Raw genomic sequence first — 17,724 nt, 5'->3', positions numbered from 1 at the left:
ACCTAATGTAAATGACGAGTTAATGGCTGCAGCAAACCAAGATGGCACATGTATACCTAAGTAACAAACCTGCATGTTGTGCACATGTACCCTAGAAGTTAAAGTATAATAATAATAATAATAATAATAAACTAGCATCTGAAAGTGCTATGCAACATAATGTTATCGAGCACTTATTTTATTACAGAAGTAGTTTATTCTCTCATCTCTCCAATCAGAGCTCAGTATAAGATAGGAGCTCAATAAATGCTAATTGAAATTAAATGAACCTAACTCAGCATGAGCAGAATTGATGATGTTGTGGCAATCGGAAACTGCAGCAATCCCAGTGTTCCAGATTGCTAAAATTAGTTAAGTGGTAACAACTTTAGCATGTATGCTGAAACAGCTTTGAAAAGTTTCACAGGAATCCTCAATAGGCCTTAATCTTTCTATATCCTCATATTTCTTCTGCTTCAGTGTAGTGGAGTAATAGCTCTTTCAATAAGCAGAAAGAAAACTCAGTACTCTCTTTTGGAAATACCTTATTTTTAACAACACACAGTTGCTATCTATTTTTATAATAATTCTGTATATTCTACATCATGGTCTCCAGTGCATCAAGATCACAGCACAGCTAAACTAGGAAATCCCATCAGTGTAACTAATTGGTAAAGCTCTTTGGCAGAATCTCTCTCATTTTGAAATGCTCACAGAACTGAGCATGGAACACAGCAGCATTGTACATGCTGACACTCAACAAATATTTGTTGAATGCATTTTGGTGAATTTGTGAAATATCAGCTGCCAGTAATAAAGGTTCTTAGAAGGAAAAAAATATCTTTACAAACTATATACAAAGTGACTTTTGATTAAATCTGTGTTATAGTGTATCTGACAAATCTTTAGTAGAGAGACTTGTGTTCTCTCATCTATTGAATGAATAAGAACTCAATGTTTTCAAAATCATCTTTTTATTAATCATCATTGTCTGAATAAAAAGAAAAACTGGATTAGTTTGCCTACATTTGATAAGATCTCTGGTAAATAAGGAAACTATTTGTTGGTTTTGAAATGTATGAGCATGGTTTATGAGCCATCTCTTTATGTTTTTTTTTTTGGTTGTTGTTGTTAAAGAGTATTGTTAAATATCATATTAAGTGAAATGCAAAAAACATCTTTGCATTCTACTCCTCCCATATTGTTCTGAATTTGATTTATCTACCTGTCAGTAGATGTTACACAGTCATTATTAGATATACATGCTTTTCCTCAATTTCTTTTATTGCATTCCTAGGCAGAGAGTTAAGTGTTTGACAGAAGTATCTCCTTATTTCTCATTTCTCTACACAATTTGTACATACCCCTTGGTTCAGCATGGCATGTGATATCAGAAATAGGCCAAAGAGAAGAGAAATGAAGAGCTCTAATTCTAGAGCTACATGGCCCTAGGTTGGTGTCCCAATATCACTACGTATTGATTGTGTCGTTTTGCTCAATTAACTGTCATCTCTATGTATCAGTTTAATAATCTGTAAAAGAAAGATAATAATAGCACTTACATCATAAGGTTGTCAGGAAAATAGGGAGAGTTAATATTTTTAAGGTGCTTAGAACAGTACCTGGCACATATTAAGTGCTTTATAAATGTTATTTTTAAAAATTATGCTCATAGTTATAAGTACAAGTTCAAGCAAATACATAGGACTCAGGAATAAGCTCTAACACAGAAAAATAACTTGGTAAGGGAGTAGAAATTTCAAAATCCTCTTACCCTTTCCAAAAGAAACCAATTGCTAAAAAGGGAACCAAATTAAGGGTGTTTTACTTTTTAAAATTTTATTATTATTATTGTTGTTGTTATTATTATTTATAGAGATGGGGTCTCAGTGTGTTTTCCAGCCTGGTCTCAAACTCCTGGCCTCAAGAGATCCTCCCATCTTCACCACCCAAATTGTTGGTATTACTTGTGTAAGCCACCATGCCAAGTTAAGGGTATACTCCTTATTAAAACCACGCTACAATACAAGAATCCTGTATTAAAACTTATGAAAATGTACTGAACCTGAGATACAGGCTAAGTTATCTGGTGAATTTATGTATTTCCACCCATAATCACTGGATGGTGGTTGGAAAAGAGGTTTGTAGAACATTCTAAGGTTCTGCTTCCCATATGTCAAGGGGAACATTGCGTATCAGGCAAATGCAGCCTTCATACTGTTCCAAGCTAAATTCTTACGATACTATCTTAAACCATACTACAGAGCTGCTCAGTACTTGGAGAGTCTCTTATTTCCTATTACATATAATGCTGACAGATAATGATCTCTATAAATGAATGATGCAATACCCCTGACCCCATCCTATTCAACCATTTCATCACTGATTTGACTAATGACATAAAGGACAGGCTTATCAAGTTGGTGGTAACTGGAAAGGAAGTGAGTAGAGACCCAAAAGTACTACAGCAAGCTGGAGTAAAAATGAGTTTAAAAATATGACATGCCATTTACAAATATCAAGTTAAAAAAGACATCATATTTTCCCCCTTAACATTCTAAACATTTAATATATTATTTCTCCGTCTTAAATTTGAACACTTTTTGCTCAGGGAATTAAATAAAACTTAGCTAGGTTTAAGAAATAATTAGTGATGTGATATATAATTCCAAATTTATTTTATGTCACTTCATAATGGATATTTTACCCATTATGCTGCTTAAGAGGAGCTCAAGTTTTAAGTGATCAAAACTCACTAGAGGATGTGCTTGGCATAGAATTTCTATTTCAGCTTCTGCTTTTCCCTCTAGGTGGATTGTAAAAGGTTGAGGTTAAATTACTTTTACATTTTAAAGTGCATTAACTTCATAACATTTCTGCCCTGAAATGCTACACTAATTTGATATTTGTCCTATATCCATTTTCTATCTAATTTAGACAGAAATCTGAGTTGACCTTAATTGTATTTTCTTTCCTTTTAAACTACAATCTTCTATTAGCAATTCTTGGACTCATAAATGGAAATTTTGTCATCTTAAAAATGATTTTTTCCTTTTAAATTTAGAGGTTTTGGTAAGAAATTTAATAATACTGTTGACTATATAATATATATCATTAGTCTTTTGTGACATGCATCAGTAGAAAAGTTTGGGGCCTGCTTTAACTAGGTGCATGAAAAATGTACTCTCACCTTCACGTAACTCAAAAATGGCTTAAACAATTCAGTTCAAATTCTCAAACGCGTTCACATTTGGTGTAGGTTAAAGTTTGAAAACCAAATGGAATCCTTTCCATTGAAAATGATGATGTAAACCTGGAAATTATAAAATTATCATATTTTTGACATAATATATTACTATTTTTGCTTAAGTTAACACATTTTACTTTTCTTGATGCTTATAACAGAAATCAGTTGCTATTTTTTACATTTGAAAAATCTATTAATTTTTTTGTTTTAATAAGATTAGTGAAAACATTTAATTGCTCTTACCTAAATTAATAATATTAGAAATTAAAGCAAAATGTATACATAGTAAGTGATCCTGTAATTGCTAGAAATAATAAAAATATTTAGTACTCCATATAAGGGTAAATGTGTCTGGAGGTCTACAATTTACCAAATTTATTTGCATATTTGGTGAAGGTTTATTCAGTGTCTGTGCTGTGCTTAGGGCTGCTGGGGAATAGGCTTACATAAGTGAACGTGACATGATTTTTATTTGAGAACTAATAGGCTACTGCTGTTCTATTTAAGCTACAGCTGTGTGGCATGGTTTTCTCTAGTAGTCTTCCAGTACTCTCAGGGTTGCTACCAATGAAGTATTCTAATATTCTTGCAGTTGAACTGGAGTCCAAATGAGCAAATAAAGAAAAAAAAATAGCAACACATACTCTGAGGCATCCCACAAAAAGCAATATCTTTTAGAAAAATCACTATAAGCCTCTAAAGAAATATAGCTGATAGGGAAAATTCTTGAAAATTTGAGAACTATAGTCTCAAATAATTTGCTTTTGAGAATAATATATTATTTAATGGAGAATTGTTACAAATAAAAATGAACAGAAAGTCTGTCTCATAACCATAAGATGAAAGTAAAGAAAAATATAAGAAAATTTAGGATGTCATATGCAATACAATATATAGGTGTTTGTGAGTGTATGAGTGTGTGTGTGTGTTTGAATGTATATAAATATAGTCATAGAGTTCAAATCTCCATATAAACTCACAGACTCTGAATATATGTACTATGTTTTAAATAATAACAAATGTGACATAATGCAAAAAAATTGATATCCTAGTTTAGAACTATGCAATCAGAAAAAAAATAAACATACAAAAGTCTTTTCCTGAAACATTTTTGAAAGGAGGGGAGAATAGAAATACAAAAATTCTGAAAGTACCCTGGGTAGGTGGAGAGTAGAGATAGGAGAATGAAAGAATGAAAAATTAAGACGATAGTATCTTAATGGGCAGGTGGCACATTATGGAATAGAGTTTTTTGGTGAAATATAATTTTCATATTATATCAGAGTAAGAGTTTTCAATTATTAGCATTGGCAAAGGGGAGAAAATTATTAATGAAAGGCAGATGTGCAATTAGATTAAATTATAATAAAAAATAAATAGCAACTTGACTAAATCAATACAATGAATTTAAAAAAAACAAAGGAAAATAAAAGCAAAAGTACTTTTTTGCCATTAAAAGTAATGGCAAAAACCGCAATTACGTTTGCACGAATCTAATAGCAAGAGGTGACACAGATTTCCCACTAAAATAACTAAAATTATGGATTAAAAATAAAAGAATTCTTCTGTGTATTCATAAGTTGATAGGAAGGATATTCTGAAACCAGAATAAAAAAGAAACCATGCAAAGAGGGGACACTGAGATCTCCATAGCATTTGCTGAATCAGATGGATTGAGCTACTTTTGTTTTATTCTCATGTGGCTCAAGGTACAAATGACAAAGTTCAAACTTTGTCGAAGATAGAGTGTCTAGGGGGAACCCATAAATGTAAGACCCCAACGGTCTGTGACCTTGAAATATATTGGAAATGTGTATTGGAAATGTAAGTAGGTAATTTATTTTTTAAAAATCCGTAGAATCATGTCGCGCCAACATGGAATAGCTTGGAGGAGATCATGTTAAGCAGGTTGTCAGGCACAGAAAGGTAAATACTACATGCTTTCACTCACATGTGGGACGAAAAGAAAAAAGGAATTCCTGAAAGTAGAGAGGTAGAGAGTAGAATTGTGGGTATTAGAGGGTGAGAAGTATGGGAAATATAGGGGAGAGTGGAAGATGGGGATAGATTTGTTAAGGGATACGAAGTTACAGCTAGATAGGATAGATGAGTTCTGGCATTCTGCAGCACTATAGGGTGAATATGCTTAACTATAATTTATTGTATATTTTCAAAAATCCAATAAGTACCAATATCTGTGAAATGCAATTCTTCTGTGCAGTTATTCATCCATCAGCATAGACAAAATGCACCATTTCTGATAGCTAGGAATACTGGCACATTGTTACCATAATGTTGACTAATGAAAAAATTACACTTTGGAGTCTGCTTCCTTTTTCTAAAACAAAAATGCATATTTGTAAAGATAAGTTCCTTCCACAGGTATTGCAGGTAAATTATTTTAACGTTTATATCTGGGGAGAATACTCCTGAGGCTCAGGAGCTTCATACTTCTAGTTACACAGCTAGTAAGTGACAAACCTGAAAATATAAACCAGTTTTAAATCTATGGTGTGTTTTTTTTTGGTAACCGAATTGCTTCATGCTCTGTGCTAGAAAATTTAGCATAACAATAGGATTATGTATAATACGGTTATTTGTAACTTGAAATATATAATTTTAAAAAATTTTCAAGTTATTCTTCATAGCTTAAACTATATTTAATATGTCAGAACACAAAAAGGCAAGTGGAGAAGGTGCCTGAGTAATATAAAGAGACTTCATAATTTTCATTCTTTTAGATGTGTGAGATTCCTGTAATTTTTCATTTAGAAACTACTCAGGAACAAATCTACCTAGGTTGCTTATCTGGTTTCTTCACTGATAATAGATTTGTAACAAGTTTTAGAGAGTGATGAAAAGGGCTGCTGGTAGAAGGCACAACAGTTACATCAATAAGTAAAATTAAATTAATGTAGGAAAAGGAGGCAAGCCACATAAAACAGCTAAAATAACAGCTCCTACATTTCATCAGGTTTCATTTAGTTCATGGCAGAAAGCCAAATTCTCAACATATTATCAAAAGTTTTTCCCTCAATAATATTAAGTAAATTAAATTTGAATGAATAGTAATTTTAGTTTGTAGTCTGTTCCATAGAAAAATGTAAAACACATAAATTGAAATATTTACCCAGTGAAGAATCATTTTTCTCCTGTCTGATTTTTTTTTTCTAACTTGGTGCATTTTAGTGTTAAGTGAGCTAACAATCACCTGGTTGTATGGTTAAAGACAACTTCTAGAGACCCAAAATTCATAGACCTGGGGTTTTATAACCGAATGACCCCAGAGCAAATTGTTAGTGGATTGGCTGCAATCTAAGAAACCCTTGATGCCAATTAAAGCTTCATGAAGTCCCAGAGGTACCATGAAGGTACAAAGTTCCTCTGGGATTCTGGTCTCTAGAGGAAATAGTCAAGAAGGTAATGATGTAAGGAGATGAAGATATAGTGGAAAAGTTATAGAAAGAAGAGGAACACAAAAATTGCAGTTGTATTTCACATTGGATTTTAAATTATTTTTAAAATGTTTTTCCAACAAATACATACTTTAAAAATCCCATTACTGGGTATATACCCAAGGATAAAACATGCTGCTATAAAGACACATGCACACGTATGTTTATTGCGGCACTATTCACAATAGCAAAGACTTGGAACCAACCTAAATGTCGAACAATGATAAACTGGATTAAGAAAATGTGGCACATACACACCATGAAATACTATGCAGCCATAAAAAATGATGAGTTCATGTCCTTTGTAGGGACATGGATGAAGCTGGAAACCATCATTCTCAGCAAACTATCGCAAGGACAAAAAAACCAAACACCGCATGTTCTCACTCATAGGTGGGAACTGAGCATTGAGAACACATGGACACAGGAAGGGGAACATCACACACTGGGGCCTGTTGTGGGGTGGGGGGAGGGGGGAGGGATAGCATTAGGAGATATACCTAATGTAAATGACGAGTTGATGGGTGCAGCACACCAACATGGCACATGTATACGTATGTAACAAACTTGCACGTTGTGCACATGTACCCTAAAACTTAAAGTTTAATAAAAAAAGAAAAAAAAATCACTAAACTTCTTGTCCTTTCCATTTTTGTTATTTTTTAAGATAAATAATTAACATAGCTGATGATGTTTCAGTTAAAGAAAACTGGGGGAGTGGGCAGCACTGCATAATATGATTATAATATTGCAGAGAGTTTGGGCCAGTTTATTGTTTTTTTCCCCTGGCACTTAGAATTTTAATAATTATTTGTAATTCATGCACACTATATGTTTCTTCTTTCTCCTATATAATTAATTTGTTCTTTTAATGTCATATTACTGCTGACTTTTACTGATAATAAGTTCCTAAAGAATTTGGATTTGTATTAACTTTTTTGTGAGCAAAGCCAATTTATTTTTCTGAAAAAAAAAAAAGAAAAGAAATGACAGAACAGTTTCTATAATGGCCAGTTGAAACAAGAAATCCACTTCTGTCTTTCTAATTATGCTTGAGTCTGTTGAGTTTTAGTGTGCTGCGCTTTATCAGTTCTCTCGGGTGCTTGTTTAATTGGGTGACAAATGTAAGAATATGACGGCCTCAGTATAAAACTTTAGCTAGTCTGTGCACAGGTATTAGTTGTCCTATTATTTAGGACAGAAGCTTTTGATATGCTTAAGGAATTCAGAAATATTTGATAATGCTGAAACTTCAAACGGCTATAATAAAAAGTTTTAAGTTTTAAGCAATAAGATATGTTTAAATAAATATTTCAGAAGAGTAATATTAAATATGGAATTTCAGAGGAGAAATTGAAAATTTTTGATAGAAGTATTTACTCGAAATAAAATAGTGGGCACTTTGAGATATGTTCTAATATACTATACTGGCTCCTACATTGAGTAGGAGAAAATTAAAAGTAATAATAATGAAATAGTTGTATTAAATGTTAAACAACTAAAATGTGTGTATCTAACGAGGTTCCCTGCTTTAGTACCCTAGTATAGCAGAGAATCTTATGGAAAGACTGTTCGTCGGGATTTTGACAGTGACAGATTGCTTTGTGTGCACTGCTAGCTGTGATTAGCTGTCAATGCCCTGGATTCTGCTGCCATCGTCTTCCAGGATGGTGATAGGTGCTTTTACTTCATTCAGCACTTGACATTTGCACCTGAACATTTTTAGTTACTCTGTCAAAGAAAGCAAAACAGATAATTCAATTTCTAAGTTTTTGTATCATTTGGAGCATCAGCTTGCAGTTTGCTTGACTGAGATGCTAGGTGAGTATCAATCGAGCAGATTGGGTAGATGTAGAAATGTTTTGATAAATAAAATTATAGAGTAGGAAGTAGGAATTAATAAAGGGAGTAGTTCTGTTTAGTGTGACATTTTGCTTCCCAGTCTTGGCAACAGATATTTTTTTTGCAACTTTAGTGGGATTTGCACAATTATAAGTTAGTCTATGCAAACAGTCCCCATCCATTTTGGCACCAGGAACTGGTTTCATGGAAGAAAATTGTTTCCACGAACTTAGTGGAGGGAATGGTTTCAGGATGATTCAAGTTCGTTACATTAAGGTGCACTTTATTTCTATTAATATTACATTGTAATATGTAATGAAATAATTATACAATTCACTGTAATGTGGAGTTAGTGGGATCCCTGAGCTTGTTTTCCTGCCACTAGACAGTCCCATCTGGGGGTGATGAGAGACAGTGACAATTAAAGGCAATGAGATTGAAATGCATAGAAAAACAATAAAGATTAAAAAGTAAAATCAGTCTTTAATGTTTTACTTCTTCAGATAGCTTTCATTTGTAAAATGAATATAATCAACACTGCTTTAGATTACACTTTTTGAATGTAAAGAAACAGAAAATTACCCTGGCTCCTGAGTTCCTTGAAATATCATTTCTCTGGCCCAGGAAAAGTGGCATTCAGGCCAGACAGTGGCTGTAAGAACTGAGGTCGCTGCCTAGTAACTCTCACCAGAGTGCAAGGGAAATGCCACAGCCCTGAACCAGGTTGCAAACTGTACCTATTGTTTGTAACTCCCTGTGGCAATAAAGCTTTACTTTTATTATTATTAATATTGAAAACCTCAGAAAACTCATTAGCCCAGCTAGAGTAACAACATATCCCTTTAGATTTCCTGTAATGAAGTTCAAGTTTACCATTCTTGTAACACCATCAGTTATAGCTGCCACAAATGTAGTTTTTATAAAAATGTCAGTTTTCTAAATGTATATTCATGCAATTAGGAAAGTAATGAAAGCTTTTTTATGGCTACATGTATTTTTTATAGTTGCTGTGATTTTAAGCTCTGTGTTATCTAAAAAAAAAGTCAAAATAACATCTGTGGGAGTGAGTTTACAGACTTGGCATCTCCAAGACCAATCAAGTGCCACACATTTAATTTCCATGGCAACCATGGTTTAAGCACAAAGGGGTCCTGATGTTATTTGGCAACTTTGTCCTAACTAAATTGTGTCCAGTTTTGCTTATTCCATATCACACTAAATCAATAATTTAAGAACCTTAGAAAACTTCTGTTGTCTAGTCACTGTGTAGTTTTATATTTTAATGTGTACTCAAAGAATTAGCATAGTCTCTCTCACTAGGTTTACATGGGGATAGTTGAGGGTGGTGTGCTTGTGTATTATTTTGATAGAGGATAATTTATAGGCTATGAAGAAGTAGACCAATCATTGTAGTCGTGCCTGGCCTCATGGTAACAAACACAAGTGAAAACTGCACTGAAGCAATTACTCTTCAAGAAGACATACTCAATTTTGTTCCTAAATAGAGTGCTTTGTTTTTTGTATTATTCTCACGTAACCTTCAGTTTACTTCAAATAAATATATTTTGCTCTACATTTTTTTCCTATGGTTAAATTTTATAATTCACAGTTATTCTGCATATACTTTATGGATATACATGATATTGTTTGCAATCATACTTTCGATCCTTATGTTTCGAGTATCACTATTTCTCCTGTAAAAGGCAAATAAAAAAACCAAACACTACCTTTTAAAAATGCAGTTCTATAAACTTCTAATATTTTTAAAAAATTGGTTTATTAAAATTATGAGGAATAAAATTAGAGAATATAGTTGTCAGCTTCAAGTAATTTGCATAGATGCATAATTCAACAGTGGTATAAGTTCCCTTGCACTGAATGTGTTTATCCGTGTTTGTGCTTTTTATGTGAAGATGTGAGTCATCCTGGATGAATAATATATCATACACTATTTTAAACTGTATCTATATGTTTGGAGAAGGCCCAAGAAAATATTGACAATGTTAAATATATTTTAAGTCACTATATTAATTATGTATAACACACTAAGTATAATGCTTACTTTTGTGTTGAGATGCAAGAAAATTTTGCATTGATATATTTTTTATTTGAGGACATGTAGCATTTTTATGTGAATTTTCACTTTTCCCACAAAATACACTGTAAATACTAAAACAATTTTGAAAATTAAGAAACATTTTGCTACTGAAATGTTTATTCTGAGACGAACATTTTGTTTTTAATGCATCTTATAATTAATAATATGTTTGAAAATTCATTTTTTACTAAAAATAAGCTCAGAAATATTTCAACTGGGTAAAAAAGTGGAACTACATTGAATTGCAGTCTGATATTAAGTACTTAATAGAATGTTGAAATAAGACTTAATGACTATCAGAGGAAAAATATTAAATGGTAAAATTACCTTTAAACTCAATATTAACATTTGAAAAAATATTATAAGGCACTATCTTCAGTTGAGAAATGAAGGGAAAATATATATTTTCTTATTTTTTAACATCAAAATTTTATAAAGCATTTTGTTAGTTTAATAGATTTAGCAATATGTAATTTTAAAAGATCTTATATGTGTGGTAACAGAAAAGATTGTACTGTTTTAGGAAATAATAGAAACTAATCAACACTTGTATTTTACTCTTCACAATCCTAGTGGGAAGTAATATAAGAATATGCAGGATGTTATATTTCAAAGCATTAATAAATTCATACTTAGAATAAAAGTTAATTCATTTGGCCTTCAATCAAAGTCATATTAACCAGTACATTCATAGCAATATTTTTTGTTCATGAATGACCCAATATACTACACCATTGTAATTGACTTCTACATCAATCTAGACCAATTAAATTGTGTTTTATTGTAACTTTATTGCCAGAGAGAGAGAGAGAGAGAGAATTAATTACATTGATTAAGCCAAGCAAAGTTTCCAAAACTTGTTAACTATAAAGCTTGGAAAGCCAGTGTGTTGTTTAGAATGGGTATTTGATTTATGAGTTAGGAGGTCTAAGTCCCAGTTCTAGCTCTCATTTCATACAAATGATCCTGAAGTAGCTTGATAACTACTTCATCCAGATACAGCATCTCTTTTATATAATGAGATGGTGAAACTAGATGATTTCAAACTTCTGATAGCTTAAAAAATTTAGATATATTGTCTCTTCTACATTTTCTTCAAGAGGTTCCCAAAAAATTCAATAAATTTTCTTTTGTAATAAATATTTCTAACTAAAATTAAAATATTTATCCACCAATTTAATCCAAACATTTTTAATTTCTACCATGTGCCCAGTACTGTGTATAATTATGCATAGAGAGTTTATAGTTAATTAAAGGAGATAATAGAAATAAATTATTGCCCTGCAATTTTATGATGGGCATAATAAAACATAATGGAAACTTTGAGGTAAAATAAAATAAATTAAAGATATTTTTATATTTCTGAGAATACCTTGAGGGTGGTTTTTTTTTTTTTTTTTTTTTTTTTTTTGAGACAGAGTTTCACTCTTATTGCCCAGGATGGAGTGCAATAGAGCGATCCCAGCTCACTGCAATCTCCGCCTCCCAGGTTCAAGCAATTCTCCTGCCTCAGCCTCCAGAGTAGCTGGGATTACAGGCACCCACCACCACACCCGGCTAATTTTTTGTATTTTTAGTAGAGACAGAGTTTCACCTTGTTGATCAGGCTGGTCTCAAACTCCTGACTGCAGATGATACACCCCTCCTCGGCCTCCCAAAGTGCTGGGATTACATGCTTGAGCAATCACACCCACCCCCACTTGAGAGTTTTAATACCCTAATTCTTCATATATCTATCTACTCCTCAGATAATTTTTAACTCTGGGGAAACAGTGCTTTTGCTTTTGTTTAAACAACTGTTTGAAACAAACTGTTTTAAAAGAAATTTTGCTTTAAAATTTTTTTGCAAGTAGACCTATGGGGTCTTTTTCTGATACCCCTATATTCACTAGGATTTGTGTTTTGAATATAAACTATATAAATTTAACAAACTTTTATCTCATTAAATATAATGATTTATTTGAAAATACTCTAAAAAGCATTTCTATAGGCAAAGGAAACCTGCATAGTAATTATAATAATAAGAATTGCATATTTAAAATAACTTGCTTATTTATTCATCCTTTTTATTGCTATTTAGATGTGAACTTACAAGAAAAAACTATTTTTTTCATTCTAGGTAAATATATGGTTTGGAATAGTGCATACTTAAAAATGAAATATGGATATTAACCTGTTAGTTCCTAGTCAAGTTAGTTCCTAGTCTATTATCTATCTAATAAATAGAAGATAATTTATCATCTATATATCTTCAATTATAGAACAGTAGTAATTGTAGCCTTGAAATAAAAAAAAAATGACGTATTCTAAGATGATTTAAAATAGATTGTATTGGATTTTAAAATAAACTCATATTAGTAATTGAAAAAAGTAGTTTGTTTTTCATAATCTTTCAGTGTCAGATTTCAGCATTTTCTTTTTGCGAAACTATATTAGAATATTTATGCATTTGAAAGGATATATGTATGAAAATCCAAATTTGCATTTTATTACATATGCATGGATGATTGATAAAAACAGGTAAGTAGATAGATGTCTAGATATCCATACATATGTAAATATAGATATAGATGATGTGGTACCTTCCTTGATATAATTCACAAGGAAAATTAATATTAACCAATTATTGTTAGCAAATATTAGTAACATATAACATTTATACAGCGAAGTACATAAAGTGTTCAAATTTGAAAACATTTCAGCAACCATGTCCTAGATTAAAAAATAGGATATTTCTAGAACATAAGTATTTATCCTAATGCCCTCTTACCTCATTTCTATATCGAAAGGGTAACCACCATCCTGTATTCTAACACTAGAAGTTTATTTTACCTAATTTTGAGCTTTATATTAATGGAAGTTCAAGATTAGGCAAAATAAACTTCTAGTGTTAGAATATTGAAACATTTATATATTGTTCCTTCAACATTGTATTTGTGAGATTTGTTCATGTTCAGTATTCTGTGGACAGAATACATAAAAATTTATTCTTACTGTAGTACAGTATTCATATCTTCTATGTACTTCCACATTGTATTACTGATTGCCACTTGATATGGTTTGGCTCTGTGTCTTCACCCAAATCTCATCTCAAAATGTAATCCCCACATGATGAGGGAGGGATCTGGTAGGAGGTGATTGGATCATGGGTGTGGTTTCCCCCAAACTGTTCTCGTGATAGTAAGTTCTCAGGAGAGTTGATGGTTTTAAAATGTGGCACTTCCTCGCTCTCTTTCACCTGCCACCATGTAAGACATGTCTTGCTTCCCTTCACCTTCTGCCTTCGGCCATGATTTTAAATGTCTGAGGTCTCCCCAGCCATGTGGAACTGCAAGTCGATTAAACCTATTTCCTTTATAAATTACCTAGTCTCTGGTAGCATCTTTATACCAGTATGAAAATGGACTAACACACTAATGTAATATCCTTCTGTTTGGGGTTACTAAGAATAGTTGATACCAACCTCATTGCAAGTGCCTTTTGTACACACATGTTCACATTTTTGTTGGCTGTGTATCTAGCTCATATAATGTGCCTGTGTCTACTTATGTAGATACTTTCAAAGAATTTTCTAAAGTGATTGTACGAGTTAAACTCCCAGCAGCAGCATATGAGAATTCCAGTTTCTCCACTGTATTGTCACCACTTGGCATCGTCTGGCTTTGTATGCTTATAAGACTTTCTGGTGAATGGATAGTAGTTTCTCACTATGTTTTAATTTCCAGCTCTTTGATAATAAAGTTGAAAACTATTTCAAAATTACTGGATGTTTATATATCTTTTTTGTCAAGTGAGTTTTCAGTGTTGCTCTTGCCATATTATTGTTAGTTTGTAGAATTTATTTATATATTCTAGATATGAGCCATTTGCTGTATATATGAATTGCAACTATGTTAATCAATATTTTTAAAAAACAGAGTATGTAGTGAATAAATTTTTAATACTAATTATGTAAGATTAAATCTTTATTTCTATTTTAATAATAAGTATCAATTCTTATATTAAATGTTAAGATATCAGAAATTGAATACGAGCCAAATATAGTTATTGTTCTCTAGTATAGTTTCTACCTTCTCAACCCAAAGTTTTTTGAATGATTAAAAAATAGAAACACTTATTTCTGGAAAAGGAGACAATTGAAGTGGACAGTATAATAGAGTATATCTAAGGTAAACAGGGGCAAAATGTATAAAATTAAATAACTGGTATAGCAGTTTGTCAAGATGCAGGTATCAGTAACAAATTTCACTACTCCCCCACCTCAACTCCTGATATTTCAGATGTGGTTTTCTTGTTACAATATAGGATGGGCAAAATCCCCTCTTAAATATTAACATTCATTTTGTAGTTGTCCAGATGAGATGTAGGTCTCTAGAAGAGAAAATTGATTTCAGATGGAAAGTCTTAGATTATGCCTGTTTGGGCATAACTCTATTGTAAAAGAGCTAATTGTACTTATCAGTATTCCAGTGTTTTATGTTCATAATTGATGGCTGATAAAATTACTCAGAAGTTACTTTGATATAACCTAATGTAACTAGGAAACAAATAAAATAATTAATGAGAAATACAGTGTGAAAAGGTAAAGGCCATGATATTTGTGTGCTGCGAATAAAGAATAGTCTTGAAGTGCAATTACTCCTAGTCTCAACCATTTTCATGTCTGGCAAAAGGATAGGGGAAACATATAAAAGTAGAAAAAATGGCAATTGCTCCTCTGGCAAAGTATTTTATTTCATTGCTTAAATTTCCATCATGGGAATTTGTTACTTTTATTATTAAAAATGATAGGTTGGAACAAACAAGTAAACTGCTATTCTGTGTTTTGGCACAGTTAGCATCTCTGTAGTAAATTTATTTTTATTTTCTTTACATTTTTATTTATTTTATTATTATTTTAAAGAATTAAATAAGTATGAGCACATTTACTAATGCTGACATTAGTAAGGAATATGGAGGCCTTAAATGGAATACAATTGAAAGATAGATTTATTTCATATAATGTGTGAGAGTTTGTAAAATTTTATATTAAACCAGACAGTGATCAGTGAATTCAGTTGTGAAGAATAGAGAACAAAATAAAATTATAAATATGATATGCTAAATTTATATCATTGTATATTGCGAATGATGAGAAAGTAAAGCAATATATAAGGACAGAGATATTCAAATATTCTCAAAACGTATGTCTATTATTTAATTTTCTTACATGAATTGACAACAACAGAGTAGGTGAATATAAGAGACTCTTTGTAATGGGGTAATATTATTTACCTTCTTTTAAGGATGAAGTGTTAGAGGAGTTTACCTTCCCTTTTCCAAGATCACTATGTCAATGAGTATGAGCTTAATGCCAATTTTACTTAGAAAACTTTCTAAAAAAGGCAGGCGTGTGTGTGTTTATATTCATGTGATATGTGTTGGTTGGCAATAGTGAAACCACATGATAGAATAATATGAAAATTTAAATTATCTTAAACCCTAAGTATTCTCTTTGATGCTTTTATTATTCCCTTTGCCCTTAGGCTGTCACTAATTTATATTTAAATATTAATTATACATACACATATCATATCAACACTATACATTATTTCTCTAAACAAAGTAAGGTCTATTCAGTATCAGTAGTGGGGAATAGTAGGTGGAGAATAATTAAAAGTTGTTGGGGTGTTAAGGAAAAAGTAATTCTTTGCCCATGATAAACCACACTGTCAACTCTGGCTATTTACACATAGTCAATCTTGGTTACCATCAAGGAGTTATCATTTAGAAAATATAATAGAGTTGTCATGACACAAATTAAACACACACTCAATGCATTTGAGTTAATGTGTCTGTATCCATCATTGATTGTCGCCTCTAAGTTGATGACTTCCAAATTAGTAGTCCTGTCATTGACATAACTTCTAAGACATAAACCTGTGTTGCCACTCCTACTAAATATTTTCATCAAAGAGAGTCAACATGTTCAAAACTGAGCTCCTTTAAATATCCTCCACAGTGAGCTTCTTAACTTCATATTTTGAATGTTATCACTAATACTGGAAACCTCAGTGGCCTTTCTCTCTATCAATAAACACTTGCAGTGTTTCATAATGTTGTCATTTCATAACCTTGTTATGTCTTGTTTTTTACAATTGAACTTCTTCAGATAAAGTTTATTGTACCTATTTACTTTAGGCTTTCATCATCTCCATGATGGCCTTAATGTCTTTCCTGCTCCATACTACGAAGTTTCTCCTTATGTTTCCTCCTCCTCTTTCTCTTAATCAATACCCCTCAGCTGATGCAAGAACTTAATATGTTCTGTGGATATGTGAGTGAACAAAATAGACAAAAACTCCCGCATTTTTAGAATGTGGAGCTCTCATTCTAGTGAGAGGTGTCAACAGTAATCATAACAAATGAGTAAATTGTACAGCATTTTATAAGCTGATATCTACTGTGAAAAAGGTAGAACAATGTAAGAAAGAAAAAAATGTTGGAAGAGTTTGGGGTATTCACTTTAAGTAGGTTAGTCCAAGTAGTCCCAAGAGAATGAAATTTGAGCAAAAATTTGAAGGAAGTGAAGGATTCGCTAGAAAATAGTTTGAGGAAGAACGTTCCAGGTACTAGAACAACAAGTCAAATACCCCAAGGCATCAGAATGTCAAGTATGTTTGAGATACAGCAAGACAGAATAAATAAGAGAAGAGACGGATTTAGGGAGGTAACACGGAGCTGGGTAATATGGTGTCTTCCTTGTCCTATAACAGGCTCTAAGTCACACCCTAAGTAAGAATGGGAAACCATTAAATGATTGTAAACATTGGAATGAAGTTATCTAAATTGTGTTTTGCAAAGACCAGTCTGGTTATTAATAAAGAATATCTTATTGAAGATTCTGACAATACTGCTCTGCTTTAAATAGTTTTAAATCTTCAGGATTAAATCTTCAGGATACATTTTCAGCCTCATAAAATTCATTAAATTTAGTCTCCTCATCTCCTAATACTATCCATCCCAAGACATCCATGAAAAAATCAGTCCACATATGAGATTACATATTTAAGTACTAAACCTGTGTGCTGCAGACCAAAATTGGATGGAAATGGTAAAATAAC

General features: G+C 32.1%; 1 protein-coding gene and 1 long non-coding RNA gene across 16 annotated transcripts in view; one reads left to right on the top strand and one right to left on the bottom strand.

The window, feature by feature from the left end:
- BRINP3 (BMP/retinoic acid inducible neural specific 3) overlaps nt 1–17,724 on the top strand; it is a 380,207-nt gene that overhangs the window by 224,960 nt on the left and 137,523 nt on the right. The gene's annotated exons all lie outside the window — the stretch shown is intronic.
- LOC105371659 (uncharacterized) overlaps nt 1–17,724 on the bottom strand; it is a 36,078-nt gene that overhangs the window by 12,137 nt on the left and 6,217 nt on the right. Inside the window, exons 2-3 of one of the 2 annotated variants that reach the window (XR_007067044.1) lie at nt 3,170–3,292; nt 1,428–1,511 (exon numbers count right to left, since the gene is read on the bottom strand). This is a non-coding gene — a long non-coding RNA (uncharacterized LOC105371659). Of the gene's footprint in view, nt 1–1,427; nt 1,512–3,169; nt 3,293–17,724 lie in introns of those variants that run through there. The other variant, XR_922376.3, reaches the window with a different exon arrangement.

Source organism: Homo sapiens, chromosome 1 (genome assembly GCF_000001405.40).
Source record: "Homo sapiens chromosome 1, GRCh38.p14 Primary Assembly".
Classification (NCBI taxonomy): domain Eukaryota; kingdom Metazoa; phylum Chordata; class Mammalia; order Primates; family Hominidae; genus Homo; species Homo sapiens.
This window is presented reverse-complemented; position numbering and strand designations above follow the sequence as displayed.